A 15799-nucleotide genomic window follows, 5' to 3' on the forward strand; every position below is an offset into this window, starting at 1 on the left:
AAAAATACAAAAAAATTAGCCGGGCGTGATAGCGGGCGCCTGTAGTCCCAGCTGCTCCGGAGGCTGAGGCAGGAGAATGGCGTGAACTCGGGAGGCGGAGCTTGCAGTGAGCCCAGATCGCACCGCTGCACTCCAGCCTGGGTGACAGAGCCAGACTCTGGCTCAAAAAAAAAAAAAAAAAAAAAAAAAAAAATCTGCTTACTTGAAGCCTTTGGAAAACTAGGAGATTTTACATATTATTTTTAAATGGCATTTTAAGGCACTCCCACTGACAATTTTGTTAGAAGGCAGAAATATCAAGTGAAGGATAGAAATGAAAATGAACTAAGTGAACAATTGGCAACGTTTCATTTCCTTCCCAAGCAATGGAGACAGATGACCTCCAGCTCACAGTGCTCACAATTCCCCCTCAGGCCACGTCTGTGCCACTTGTCACCTCCTGCACCGCTTTCAACACTTGCTGCTGCCCTTGGCCACAGCACAGGTATGGGCAAGTGAGGAAAGATGGGGGGCTCACAGCACCTCACCCTACCTGGCTTCAGGGGTGGGTTAAGATTGTTTCTACTTAAGAACCATGGCAACAGTTTGTGTTAACTGGATCAACGTAATTCCCTTGTTATAATTAAACAAAAAAGTTTTAAAAAAATTTAAATTCAAGGAATCTGGCCAACAAGTTGGGTGTTTCTGAGAGGTATTATTAACTGGTCTGACCACTTCAGGCACTAAAATCGTGGCTGAAACATTCAGTCATGGTACACTCAGGCCAGATTGTTATTGACAACAATGCCTGAAAGGGTTTCATTTTACCTTGGACCTTGGAAGGCAACAAAAGAACAAATTGAAATGGACAGAACCCAAACAGCTCAGTGTCATTGAACATTAGAATTGTACAACTCATACCTCTTGTTCTGATTCTAGGCTTACGGATGTTCCCACAAACTGGTTTTCCATATTGTTCACATATGGGGTGGGGGCTGGAAATGCTGGTATCATTCATGATAAATGAACCAATTGGCCTGCTGGTTTATTAACTTCCTCTCTTGTGAAGTTGGTTGGTCTGAGTCCCTGAGCCCAGTCAACCCTGGAGAGTGACAGGAATGCATTTGCAAGTGTACGACTTGGGCTGTGTCCTGGACAATGATGAATTGGAACTAGCGTCACTTGGGTGATCAATCAGTTGCCCTTCCCCCAGGAGACTACCCCAGAGGTGACTGCTCACTTCCGTTTAAAACTTTTATACCAAGGTCTTAGATCTCAGAACAATAATAGTGTGTCCTCACTGATTCATCCCAGCAAGAATGTGTGATTCAGTCAGCTGTTTGGGTAAGAAGAAAATTGTCCCATGCAAATTATCTGCAAAGGTATATTAAAAGGAAAAGAGAAAAAATGTTTTGAACCAAATTATACTACATGACTGGCATAATTGTCTCAAGCGGACACAACCCTAATCGCTGAGTCTGAATATTATTCCATTTATAAAATGAAGAGGATACTAATTACCTAAACTAGTCATTATATCTAAAATTATTTTACGCAGTGTTGTGAATAAGCCCAGGAAGAAAAGCACCACTTAAGAACAAGGTAAGAAAGCATGATTCCACAGATTCAAACGATCATTTTGGGAACACCTATGATCTAGTCATGTGCTCTGCCAAGTGCTTTTGCCTGTCATTTCCCTTCATCCTGAGAACGACTCAGTGAAGTGGCTATCACTCGCATTTCACCAATGAAGAAACTAAGGAATGATTTTGTTGCAGGACTTTTCCTTAGTTCAGCTAAAGATCGGATTCTTGTCTCTCCCACAGCCATGAAAATTTAGGCTCGCAGATGGTTTAAAGGGTGAGTAAAGCAGGGTTTTATTGGGTGAAAAGGGGAAAAAAAAAAGGGGAAACAGGGACTCTCACAAGGCCAGAGTCCCTCTGCTAGAGCACTTCCCGCCAGGCCATTTGAATCCCAGGTTCTGCACAGGAAGAGGAGGGGCCACGGCCTCCCCGCTGCAAAGGGCGTAAACTTCCCTACCCTCCACCTTAGAGGGCGGGCTGGTTGGAGTTTCCCCAGGGATTCCCCTCCCACCTGGCTGCCTCATTCCCTGCTCTAAAGAAGTACACCTAACTGCCCTTAGATTAAGGATAAGGACAAAGACCGATCTTAACTGCTTCCTACTGACAGGAGGCTCTGTTTTGGGGAAAAGGCAGTCAGAGCTCCCTCAGAGGGAGCTATCAGCTCCTATCTAAGGGTTCCTGGCAGAAGGGGCCATTGTCAGAGGCTCTGGTTGCATGACCGTTTGGAGTCTGATGGCCTGAAGGCAAGAACAGACAAACCAGTTTATTAGAAAACATGTATCAAAACAAAACAAGGGGAGGGGTAAGGACAGCTCAAAAAGCTTTTACCAGTTTGCACAGGGAGGGAAAGTCCAAACGCCTGACTGGTAAAGACACTTTACCCTTTTGCCACGATGTTGGGCTTCTGGGTTCCCTTCCCCCGAGTCCAATCCTAAGCCAACCAGTTTAAGGTTTGGGAAATTAACAGTTTGGAGGATGCATCTGAGGGGAGTGTCCCGTAGTAAGGAGAGACACAATTACCTATCAGTGAAGGGAGAACCGAGGAGAAGAAAGGAAAAAGAACGTGTTTTTAAGGGAGTCCCAAGGATCCAGGATGCATTTGAAAGGGGTACAGACTGAAGATGAATGGCTACCCATCTAGAAAGAGGGGAGCAGGCATCCTTGGTTCCCTTCTCTTCCTAGCAGATACCCGGGGCAAGTAAGGGAGAGAGGGAAGAGCGTCCTCTTTACATCTCGCATCCTTGCAGCCCCGAGCCCTGGAGACCTTGGCAGGCACCACCATGAATGCCAAAGCGGCTTGCACCCATGAAGCAGGGGGTCCCAGAGAATAGGAATTATCCATTTTCACCTATGCCCCTATCCCACCTACTGTCAGTAGCCTCGGAGTTCCCTGGACCTCATTTATGCCATGGATACTAACGTGGCCTTTATCCATGAAACAGGAAGCTTGGGGTTGGCTTAATCGGCAAGAAACAGCTACGCTCACCTACGCTGTGCCTTTTAATCTCTGCTGCCATCTGCCTCTGGATCGCTCAGATCCAGTTTTCTTTCCAGGGCTTTGACCCAAAGCTTGAAATTGAGTCTGGGACAAAAATGTGTCTTAGGGGGTATTGCATGGACTCCTTGTTATAAGCCGAATGCTACGGTGAAACTGTGGAACTGAGTCCTCTTCCAAGGGAGAGAAAAGGATGTCTTGTGACACACCCAGATAACCGGCGGCTATAGTTATGCTTGCTAGGATTTGGATGGATGATGCTTGGCTTTGTTTAGTTCCCTTGGTTTTACTTTCCCAAAAAGGAAACCTCCAGGTGATGGGCACCCTATTTATTCCATCACCTGGCAGGATTTGCAGGATAATTGCTCAGAACTAGAATATTGATCCGGATTTCTACATTACCCATCCCTCTTGTTCTTTCTGACCTGCAGCCAGGGATTGCTGGTTGGTTCAGAGGAGCAAGCAGGGTTAGTCTGAAATGTAGGTGAAAACTTAAAAACAACTAATGATTTTAGGATTTAATGACAAATGTATGGTAAGCTTTAGAACATAATTTCTCTCTCTCCAGTCCTTATTTTTGTTAAAAAAATTATGATAGGACTGAGTGGTTTGCAAAATAGACTTTAGTCTTATACTTGGCCTGATTATTTGCTTAAAATGCAGCAAGAATAACTATTTCTGCATAGGCCTTTTGGATTGGCTTTGTTGGAAATGTTTTCCACAAGGAATCACAGATGAGACCTTTTTAAAGCTGAGCCGAGCCATAGGTTTGCATCCTCAAATACCCGTGAGTTGGGTGATCCACTCCTCTTAAGGTTCCAAGATAAACTTGGAGCTCCTGGACCTGTTAGAAAGTGACATTCTTTAGTGACCACAGGTCAGGGACCCTTTATAGGGACTGCATAGACAAGGGAATGAGGCCAGTTTCCCTATGGGGCTTTTATTGGCTCTGCAAGTTGAGCTTGACTCCTTAAAGGGAAGCATATCCTTCCAGTGAAAGCCTTGGTAGAATAACTACTTTCTCCAATTGTGTCCTGTTGCAAAAGAAAAATGGACTCTTATTGCACTGATGCAAACAAATATATTGCCATAAGAATACTCACAGATAGTTTCCAAATTCTAGAGGAACCAGGCAGAGAGAGACAAACATGCTTCAAATTTTGTTCATAGGAGTATGCTTTACTCAATTATTAAAGGCTGTAAATAGTTCAAAATAAGTTTCCTTGACTGAAAAAACATGGATTAGCCATATTCCAACCAAAAGTCAAAAAAGTTACTTCAGCGTCCTGAGTTCAGTCCATTTAGTTAACTCTTGTTTTGCTTCATATTTGTGAGCATTTCAGTTCTTCGTGAGTCCTGTGCATTTTCCTGTATTCCAATGTTACTATATCCAAATTCATCATAAACCTGCATTTCAGAGCAGCTGTCAAAGTCTTACAGCTTACTATAAACCATCTTTTGAAAAGGATTAAAATAAGACAACAACTCTCTGTCAATAGCAACATGTCCAGGGTAATTACAGTTAGAAACAAAAATGACAAAGAAGTTTGATTATCTCCATGGTTTACAATAACTCAACAAAACCTTAATTATAATTGATAGCATATACTCAGACATCAGAATTTTAGAAATCCCATATAATTTTGCAACATATATTAGAATTATTCAGCAAGATATACCTTAAAGAACATTGAGCATCATTTTGGCAATCCCATGTATCTAAACATATCAAATAATCCTGTTTATCTCTCTTTTCTGGACACTTCAGGGGCCCTCTGAAGTATTTGAAAAGACAGGTGCTAGGGAAGATAATTTTGAAACTGAGGTTTGATTTTGGGAAGGATGTTGAATGTTTGAGGTTTAAAACACTTGATATTATGAAATACAATTCCAGATTACTATAAGTTATTTACTTTGCCAAAATGATGACTCAGAAATTTTAAAGAAGCAAAAGCCTTTTTTAAACCCCTTACAAATTTTGCCAAAGAGCAGATTAGTGCCTTAGGAAAACCTTGTTATGCTTTTATTTCAATGCTCAATTTACAGAAAAACCATATAATACCCTTTTTTGAATGTAGTCAATATGCTCACACAGAAAACCTCTTTTGCTAGATAATTTTTGCAGTTTTTCCACCACTTCTTTGAACCTTCAGCTTTTTCCTATTTTAACTCAAAACAATCCTTTAACCCTAGGCAAAAGTTTACATTTCCATGCCTTCTCATAACCTTTTACTAAAAAACACATTTTAATGTTCTTACACACCTTGCATGTAAATCAATTTCTAGTAGTTTCAATTAAATCCTAGCAATTTTTAACTTTAAGACAAAATTTAGTAAGTTGCTTTAATTGTATGCTAACTGCAGCCAAGTTTTGCCTTCTTAGTTAAGGCGGTGGTTAGTTCCATGTGTCCCCAAGCCTTACCAATTGTGAAGCCAGCAAGTCAAATTGTTCTCAAAACCCAAAATGCAGTTTGTAACCTCCAAACACTTAGCAAACCTTTCATCTCACCTGCATTTTACCAGTAGTCTTTAGGGATGTTCATATTTCTTAAAGATTAAAGTTACGTGAACTGAAATGTAACACAGATTTTTATCTTCCCTTTAAAAAATATTAGATCCAAGTGCTTGTCTTACTTTAGGCCAAAGTAATTAGAGCTCTTTTTTTTTTTTTTTTTTTTTTTTTTGAGAGGGAGTCTTGGTCTGTCGCCCAGGCTGGAGTGTTGTGGCGTGATCTCAGCTCAGTGCAAGCTCCACCTCCAGGGTTCACGCCATTCTCCTGCCTCAACCTCCCGAGTAGCTGGGACTGCAGGCGCCAGCCACCACCCCCGGCTAATTTGTGTGTGTGTGTGTGTGTGTGTGTGTGTATTTTTAGTAGAGACGGGGTTTCACCGTGTTAGCCAGGATGGTCTCGATCTCCTGACCTTGTGATGCCCACCTCGGCCTCCCAAAGTGCTGAGATTACAGGCGTGAGCCACTGCGCCTGGCCTAGAGCTCTTTTTACAGACATCACACACAGTACACACACAGACAGGCAGAAGAAAACCCAGTCGATGGGTGGGGCCCTTTAAGAGACAAGGCTAGGGCCGGGCACGGTGGCTCATGCCTGTAATCCCAGCACTTTGGGAGGCGGAGGCGCGCAGATCACGAGGTCAGGAGATCGAGACCATCCTGGCTAACACGGTGTGAAACCCCATCTCTTTTAAAACATACAAAAAATTCGCTGGTCCTGGTGTCGGGCGCCTGTAGACCCAACTACTCAGGAGGCTGAGGCAGGAGAATGGCGTGAACCCGGGAGGCGGAGCTTGCAGTGAGCCGAGATCATGCCAGTGCACTCTAGCCTGGGCAACAGAGAGAGACTCCGTCTCAAAAGAATATAAAAAAAAAAAAAAAAAAAAAAAGAAGAGACAGGGCTAGGAAAACTTGCAGACATCGAATTTGAGAGGGGCATCCCCTCAGGAGGGATTGCTAAACAAAGCCTTGCCAAGCAGTTACCAGCCATGCCCTCAGGATGGAAAACAAGATGGAGACTTGATTTCACAATCAAAACTGAGAGAATACAGTGATAGTTTGGGGTGGTGGTAGGGGGCGTCTAGCCTAGTATAATATCTTCTAAAAGAAAAGAAAGATTCTTTTGGAAGTTAACTTGTGGGCCAGGCACAGTGGCTGAGGCCTGTAATCCCAGCACTTTGGGAGGCCGAGGCAGGCGGATCACCTGAGGCCACGAGCTCGAGACCAGCCTAACATGTTGAAACCCTGTCTACTACTAAAAACACAAAAATTAGCGGGGCATAGTGGCAGGTGCCTGCAATCCCAGCTACTGGGGAGGCTGAGGCAGGAGAATCGCTTGAACCTGGGAGGCGGAGGTTGCACTGAGCTGAGATCGCGCCATTGCACTCCAGCCTGGATGACAGAGCCAGACATCTCAAAAAAAAAAAAAAAAAAAAAAAAAAAAGTTAACTTGCTGATGGGGTAGAGAAGGGGAAAGCAAAGAAACATTTTAAAAGTACCTGTGGAAGAACATCTTATTTTTATTTTTTATCTTATTTTATTTATTTTTTTTTTGAGGCGTAGTCTTGCACTGTCGCCCAGGCTGGAGCGCAGTGGCGTGATCTCGGCTCACTGCAAGCTCCGCCTCCTGGGTTCACGCCATTCTCCTGCCTCAGCCTCCCGAGTAGCTGGGACTACAGGCACTCGCCACCACTCCCGGCTAATTTTTTCTATTTTTAGTAGAGACGGGGTTTCACCATGTTAGCCAGGACAGTCTCGATCTCCTGACCTCGTGATCCGCCCGCCTCAGCCTCCCGAAGTGCTGGGATTACAGGCGTGAGCTAACGCGCCCGGTCGAAGAACATCTTATTCTTATGCAAGTGGTTCCTCCACCAGGGAAACAAGTTTAAACTTAATTACTGTCCATCCGATAGAGTTAAACCCCTTGGCCAGGGAAGGGGAAGGCTGGGGGAGCCTCACGGGGCTGGGAACCGGCCAGCGGGCTGTGCAGGACTCTTGGGCCATGCATCCCAGCACAAGGAGGGATGGGGGAGCAGAGGGAGCTGCTGCTCACTGGTGAGTCCCGAAAAAGAAAATGCCACGAAAAGGCCTGAAAAGGCCCAGGAGCTATGAGGGGTAGGGGCATGGTTTCTCCCACCCTCAGAAGTCCGAGGATGAAAAGTCTTAGAAGCAACAGTGAGAGGTTTTGAGTCCCCATGTGACTCACCGCTTCTCCAGCCCATGTTGCATGCCAAAAACGTCGCAGGGCTTTTCAGTGGGCAAGCTGGTTGGAGTTTCTCCAGGGATCCCCTCCCACCTGGCTTAATTGTTGATGATTTAGTAACTCGAATAAGGTCAGGCGTAGAAAATGGCAGAACCAAATTTTAAACCCACATCCTCTGCCTTCAGGTCTGGATTACACTTGCTTATATAACATACTGCTTTCTTATTTTTATTTTTGGAGATATGAGTAAAGTTTGAAAATAAGATATCTAAGAAACCCCTAATTAGACATTCTTAAATGAGGATCATTCTGTGGCTTTTTTCCCCCCCTTTCTCTCTTTGGACTTTTATAAAATGTCAGAATCATCAGACATAGATACTTCCATAGCTTGTTAGATTAAGACGGTAGATGTTTTACTTTGAAAGGAAAATATACTCCTCAGCAGATAAGACTTGACTTGCTCTTGGCTACCATTGCTAACCAAAAATCAACTTTAGACTTTGGTCTTCCCGTTGTGCTCAAAGTCCATTGCTGGCTGATTAGATTGATTTAATGTATTTCAATTCAGGAAATATTTATTGGGCAACTACTGTGTGACAGATACTCCTTTAAGGAGCTTACAGACTAGGCATGATTTGCAAGTAAATTGGCAGCTACAAAGTAGCGTAATAAATCCCACTAAACTCCAGTGCTGTCAAGGTGAAAGCAAAGAAATAACAGCACGGCTTTGTGAAGATTTACTGGTCATTCCCATTGTTGGTAAACTCTTGAACCAGGAAAAATCACTCCAGTGGATAAAACAGGTGTTTTGTCTCCAGGTGTTGGCATTATTTTTTTTTCTCTATAATTATATATACTTTTTGGATTTTGTAAAGGAAGCCTATATTACTCTGACAATCTGAACAAAATGATAAAGTAACTAGAAAAAAGCAAAACAAACTGGAACACAATGACCCCTGTCTTTGCCACATCATTATTACTTCAGAATAACTTTTCCCTGTCCCTTTTCACTGAGTCACATTGTGCCCAACAAGTTATTTGGGTGAATGGGAGCAGAGCAAGTGTAACAATAGGTTAGAACCCAGCATGAAAAGAATGAGGGGCCCAAACTCAACCTGTGATTATTTTTCTCATTTTTCTGTTGAGAGATAGGTATAGAAAACTGAGGCCTGATTATGATTGGGTCTACAGAATGAGAATTACCTCAACAACTGAATTCAGTGCATTCTGTGCCCTAATGAAGATTGGAGAGGTCATTTCTTTTTTTTTTCTTTTTTCTTTCTTCTTTTTTTTTTTTTTAGACAAAGTCTCCCTTTGTTGCCCAGGCTGGAGTATAGTGGTGTGATCCTTGCTCACTGCAACCCCCGCCTCCCAGGATCAAGCAATTCTCCTGCCTCAGCCTCCCAAGTAGTTGGGATTACAGGCACATGCTACCACGCCTGACTAATTTTTTAATTTTTATTTATTTTTATTTTTTTTATTCTTAATAGAGACAGGGTTTACCATTTTAGCCAGGCTGGTCTCAAACTCCTGACCTCAAGTGATCCGCCCGCCTCAGCTTCCCAAAGTGCTGGGATTACACCCATGAGCCACTGTGCCTGGCCTGGAGAGGTGATTTCTTGGCAATCAACCAAGTAAGATATGGTTGATTCAATAGCTGTGATGATGGATAAATGTGAATTCTGTATCATCAGGTTTGCTCTCCCCCCACCCCCAGAATATCTCTTTTTCCCATAGCATTTCCCAGTTCACGCATTTTAATCAATTGCGTAACTGAATGAGAAAAAAGGTCAAATCCAACTTCCATCCTCTTGATGATGGGCTAGGAGATAGGATGAAGCCAGTGTGAAGCAAAGCGTTCTTTGAACTGCTCGCAAGCTGAAAGGGGTTTCAGAACAGGCCAGTTAGTCTCCTCAAGGACTGAGGAATCTTGGTCTTCCTGGAAGTCTTGATACACAAACTGCAAATGCACAGTTTACAACAAGAGTAAATAAACACATGCTTTAGCCGTGTGGATTGTAGGCTTTTGAGGGAAAGGGCCTACTTGGTTTGATTCTAATTTTCTGAAAAGTGTCACCTACATCTCAAACATGGTCAGAATAGCCTGTAATAATTTGTGGCATTGTGCTTAAGTGGTCTATTTTTGCATTTCCCCAGGAGAAGCTGTAAAGGATGTGTTTATGAGCTCCCTGCTTTGCCTGTGGCTATTACTATTGGATAAATCCTCTTGCCTCTGAAGAAACAATGGAAAAGTATTATAGTGTGCTATGCTGAAAGGACAATATCATGACTGTTTCAAAAAGGGCCTTTGCTTTTAGGATGCAGATGAATTGTGATAGTCGAGGCAGAAAGAGCCCTTATTTTTGTGTGCTCCATCTCTGGGAAAATGACATGCTGAAAAATACAATAAATACATTCTGATAGTTTTAGTGTTCTATATGAAAACAGAAGCTTTGTTGACTTTTTTAATGGAAAAGCAAAACTTATCGCACACTACAATTGATAGTGTCTGGTTAATATTTTCTGTTTACTTTTTACCCACACACAAACACACACACATCGTCTATATCCATAAAAAATAAATAGTTAAGGCCAAGAAATAAGGTATTTTTAAAGGAAGTTGAGCCAATGTTTGTGTGTGTGCCGTGAACATATCTATATTTTTATCTAAATTTGTCCTGAACTTTGACTGGTTCAGTGGTATATTGGAAGGAGCATAGTTTTTTTTTTTTTCATCTTTTTTTTTTTTAACCTTTTTCTACTGGAAGATTTTATTGCAGCAAAAGACAAAGGGACAAAATGGATAGTATCTTGATTGTCCTGTGAAGCAAAATGAAAGTTTCCAGGCAATGAGGTTGATGCATTGTTAAGCACACGTGATTGAAAGAGAAGTCTTGAGAATGTTCTCCGGCAGTTAGGGCACAAGATAACACACTCACATGTTAGATTAATTCTCTAAGCTTTGATATTTCATAAAGGGGGATTTATTACAATATAAGCCTGGTTTCTTTTCTATGAAGTTTATGAATTTCCTGTGAGTCACAAAACAAGAGACCCTGAAGGCTATATCATAAGCAAATCCTAGCACTTGGCCAATAGAGAGAAGGCACAGATGTGAAGGCCGGGAATGAGAGAAGGGGATTAAAATAACACATATCTGCTACAAAACAGGTTCTATCCGCTGTCAACACTGTAGTACCGTATTTGGGGATAAAAATAATACATGTGTGCTTATATTACTGTTTCTTAATATCAAAACCTAGCAGTGATGGAGTCTGCAGATTATGGTTTCTTAAGCCTAGAATAACAGATGAAATGGAGGATTTGATATGTTTGACACACAGTCAAAACCTTCCACACCTCCATTCAGAACCAGGATAAGGCATTAGTCCAAATTAGACCACCTGGAAGGGTTCTGAAAAACCGTAAGGATTCATTTCCTCATGTGGCTTGCCTAAAACCACTGTTATTAAAATGTGTTAGAATATGTAAGAAATATTTCGATTTTTACAAACACGTATTGAAAATGATCTAGACTGGGCACAGTGGCTTACACCTGTAATCACAGCACTTTGGGAGGCTGAAGCAGGAGCATCACTTAAGCCCAAGATTTCAAGAACAGCGTGGGCAACAAAGCAAGACCCCATCTCTAAAAACAAAAGAAAGAGAGAAAGAAAATGCTCTAAAGAGTAAACTCTTTCCACAGTCCAAACAGGTTGGCATTACCAATTATTTTATCTTACCTTCTCTCTCTCTCTCTCTCTCTCTCTCTCTCTCTCTCTCTCTATATATATATATATATATATATATATATACCCTTTTTTTATTTTTTTTTTGAGACGGAGTCTCGCTCTGTAGCCCAGGCTGGAGTGAGTGGTGTGATCTCAGCTCACTGCAAGATTCGCCTCCTGGGTTCACACCATTCTCCTGCCTCAGCTTCCCGAGTAGCTGGGACTACAGACACCCACCACCACGCCCAGCTAATTTTTTGTATTTTTAGTAGAGATGAGGTTTCACCATGTTAGCCAGGATGGTCTCAATCTCCTGACCTCGTGATGCCTGCCTTGGCCTCCCAAAGTGCTGGGATTACAGGCATGAGCCACCATGCCCAGCCCTTACCCTCTATATTCTTAAAAACACCTTATGATCCTTAACTACACAACGTAATCCAAAAGAAAAACAAAATGCCTATCTATAAAAATTGGATATTTTAATGTAAGTTTGATCTTTCTCCTTAAGCAGAGACTTAATGTTTCATAGCTTTAGCAGAAAACGAAACCTTTCTTTACCACAGGTCCTCTAACTATATAATAGAAAAGTGTTATGGAAATTACCAAATATTTCCATATTTAAAATGTAATTCAATCAACATTTAAATACCAATGCAGACCAGGCACTTTGCTTGGTATTGGGGATCCAAAAACTAAGGGGAACAAGGGTTCATTGTCCCCTTTCAACAAACATAATTTGATAACAATGGAATGTTTTTACAATGGGAACATATGTAAACAATGGGCATGCAGGTGAAAAGTCAGTCATTTTAGGGCAATACCTAAAATATACCTGGCATAGTTCCCACCTAAATGTTCAACTAGCTTGCTGTCAGGAAGTTCCCCCTACCCATAATATAAATCCCTTAGTAACTGGGGAAAATACAGTAGTCATTTAACCACAACTATCATGGCTGAACATCCTCTCACTCGGGAGTCAGGAGTTATCAAAGGAACAGGAATAAAACAGTTGGCCGCCATTGTTCCGTTCTACACGATTGCTACTTGCCTAGGCTCAGATCTATCAGATTCCTCTTTCTCAATGACTGTACATGCCAATATCTCTTAGGAGTTATTTTTCCTGAGACCACTGGGTCAGTGCTCTTGACAGAAGCCTCAAACTAGAGCACCCAACTCTATGAATGGGTTAATGGATCATTTGTAAGAATTAAAGGGGTTCTTCCATCTCTAGCTCTATGTTACTAGATCCCTCTCTTTCTTGCTATGAAAATCCTTTTCTGTTGACATTGTTGTTGATATTAACTTCTCCAGGTATCTCACACCACTTTACACATCTAAGAAATTTTGTCAGTTTAGCCATCTTTCCCCATTTTATAAAGACATAAAGAGAGTCACTCTCACTAATTGAATATAAGCCAAAAAATGAATTTTGTAAATCCACATGGTATAAAGAAATATAATTTCAAGTAAGAAATATTGGAATATAAGATTTTGTGGGGGTTGGGCAGGGAGTTTTCTCTCTGTCAACTTTTTAAAATAAAAATGTGAAGAAATTAACAATTGGCTACATACATGCTACATATCAAACATATGAGTAACAACACTAGCTGGCCGGGGAGGTGGCTCACGCCTCTAATCCAAGCACTTTGGGAGGCTGACGCAGGTGGATCACTTGAGGTTAGGAGTTCGTGACGAGCCTAGCCAACATGGTGAAACCCTGTCCTACTAAAAATACAAAAATTACCTAGGCGTGGTGGCATGTGCCTGTAATCCCAGCTACTCGGAAAGATGAGGCAGGAGAATCGCTTGAACCCAGGAGGTGAAGGTTGCAGTGAGCCAAGATCGTGCTACTGCACTCCAGCCTGGGCAACACAGTGAGACTCTGTCTCAAAAAAACAAAACAAAAAAACCAACAAACAAAAAACACTGGCTTTCCTAGTGCCTTTTATTATTTTCAGTGATCTTCTAAAGAAAAGTGCAGAACAGACTATTGATTGGTCAGGCAGAAAGCTAGCTTAGGGAGGTATGGCTCTGCTGAGAGTAGCGGCTGTTAGGAAGCTCTGTTGAACTTCCCCCGCCCCGTGGTCTGGAGCTCCATGGTGTAGCCCAGTGCCTGATACAGAGCCGACGCCAGTGTTTATTGAATTAATGAATGAAAGATGAATGCCTAAGAGCATAGTTTCCTTGTGGGGTCATCTGGAAACTCGGGTCACATCTAACATTTAATATTTCATGTGATGGCAAGAATACAGTACACGAACAATCTAAGTTTGTATTTTTGTTTTGTTTGGGGAGGATAGTGAGATAAATTTCTGTTTGAAAATCTAAAATCCAGGAGCAGTTCTAAACAGATCTTTATTGATCTAAAAATTATTTAATGACTTGAGTAGTGCTGATATGCTATTTTAAAAGGGTGCATTTACAAATAGTTTAAACTTAGCAGATTATTAGAGAATTAACAAGGGAAGTGACTTTATGGGAAACAAATGGCTAGAGGGGGGAAATGACTAATAGAGAGGGAAAGTGAAACTTTTCTCTTAAATGGGGAGGAATAAATAATTGAGAGGATGGGGGAAGTTAGGTATATAGAAACCTTCAAGATTTGGAAAGATATAACCAAAACGGTCCTGCCCTCTCTACTCAGTATAAAGATGGGGTTAGTTGGTTTGTCTCCTCTAGTTTGTGTGAGAAAGAGGAGAGGTAAGAGAGTCAGAGAGAATAGGATAGTACTAGAAAGATAAAATATATTGGCCGGGCGCCGTGGCTCACGCCTGTAATCCCAGCACTTTGGGAGGCCGAGGCGGGTGGATCACGAGGTCAGGAGATCGAGACCATCCTGGCTAACACGGTGAAACCCCGTCTCTACTAAAAATACAAAAAAATTAGCCGGGTGCAGTGGTGAGCGCCTGAGGCTGAGGCAGGAGAATGGCGTGAACCTGGGAGGCGGAGCTTGCAGTGAGCCGAGATCGCGCCACTGCACTCCAGCCTAGGCGACGGAGAGACTCCGTCTCAAAAAACAAAAAAAAAAAGAAAAAGAAAGATAAAATATATTTAACTTATCAGCACAAGTAGCCTGTTAGGTGAAATAGCCTGTCATCAGCGGTAAAAATGGGAAGAAACTAACAGCTGTAAGAAAGTACACAATTTTTTTGATGCCAATCTGTTCTGAATTCACAACTTGACCACAGCTAGGAGGGACTTTATAGAAGTGAATTTTCTAATCGTTTATTATTATTATTTTGAGACAGAATCTCACTCTGTCAACCCACGCTGGAGTGCAGTGGCGCCATCTCAGCTCACTGCAACCTCTGCCTCCAGGGTTCAAGCAATTCTCATGTCTCGTCCTCCCAATTACTGGTGCATGCCACCACGCCCAGCTAATTTTTGTAATTTTAATAGAGATGGGGTTTCGTTATGTTAGCCAGACTGGTCTTGAACTCCTGGTCTTAAGCAATCCACCCGCCTTGGCCTCCCAAAGTGCTGGGATTACAGGCATGAGCCACCGTGCCTGCCTGTCTAATCAAGATTAGAGGTAAAGTCCATGATGTCTCCAGTTGTGAGAATGGCAGTTACTGGTAGTGAAGAAGGAAGTCAAGGCTCATCAAATATTGCTGTTATTTATTTGTGAAGGCAGAGTTTTCTATCGTGGTAGAGGGTTTGTGTATTGATATTGCAAGAACAAAGAATGAAGAATAGTGTTGACCTTGAACTTAATTGTACCTCTCTGGGTAAAGCTTGGTAGTTTAGAGGCTGCAAAAGAGACTTCTTCCCACCACTTGGGAAGTGGCAACTCTTACTGGCAGATATAATTTTGAAAAGTTAATAAACTTCTTAAAGCCTGAATATATAATATAGAGATGATAATGTTATCAATTAACGAATACACTGAAAAACTCATTAAGAGAGTATCAGGTAGCGTAATGAAACATGAATTCAGTCTGAAACCCAGTTTTAAATTATTGGGATAGCTAATGTAATCATGCCATCAGGCACTTATGGTCACCTTAATTCCCTCACCTTAGACGATTATTTAAAGATTGTGATACCCAGAGCCTGGCACGGTGCCTGACATTGGAAGGTACCCTATAAATATTTATTTGATAAATAAATGAATAGTTCATTCATGAAGAGTTCCTATTTATCTATCATCTATATCTATAATTGTTCATCTATTTGTCACAATGTCTATGTACTCTAAAGGAATTTATAATCTAAGTAAGGGAGCCCGCCTAGTAAGTATAATGCAAGTTCTTAAATCGTAAGTACTACAATAGTACAAGGAAGAAAGGGCTTGATGAGC

General features: G+C 41.8%; 1 annotated feature.

Moving 5' to 3' along the window:
- Positions 476–1675: an enhancer, noted in NCBI's record as "P300/CBP strongly-dependent group 1 enhancer chr10:23113377-23114576 (GRCh37/hg19 assembly coordinates)". NCBI's record gives its function as "activates an origin of replication core promoter dependent on BRD2, BRD4, P300/CBP, MED14 and CDK7 cofactors, with strong dependence on P300/CBP, by STARR-seq in HCT116 cells {active_cell/tissue: HCT116}" and the evidence as "EXISTENCE:reporter gene assay evidence [ECO:0000049][PMID:35650434]".

This window comes from Homo sapiens, chromosome 10 (assembly GCF_000001405.40).
Source record: "Homo sapiens chromosome 10, GRCh38.p14 Primary Assembly".
Lineage (NCBI taxonomy): Eukaryota > Metazoa > Chordata > Mammalia > Primates > Hominidae > Homo > Homo sapiens.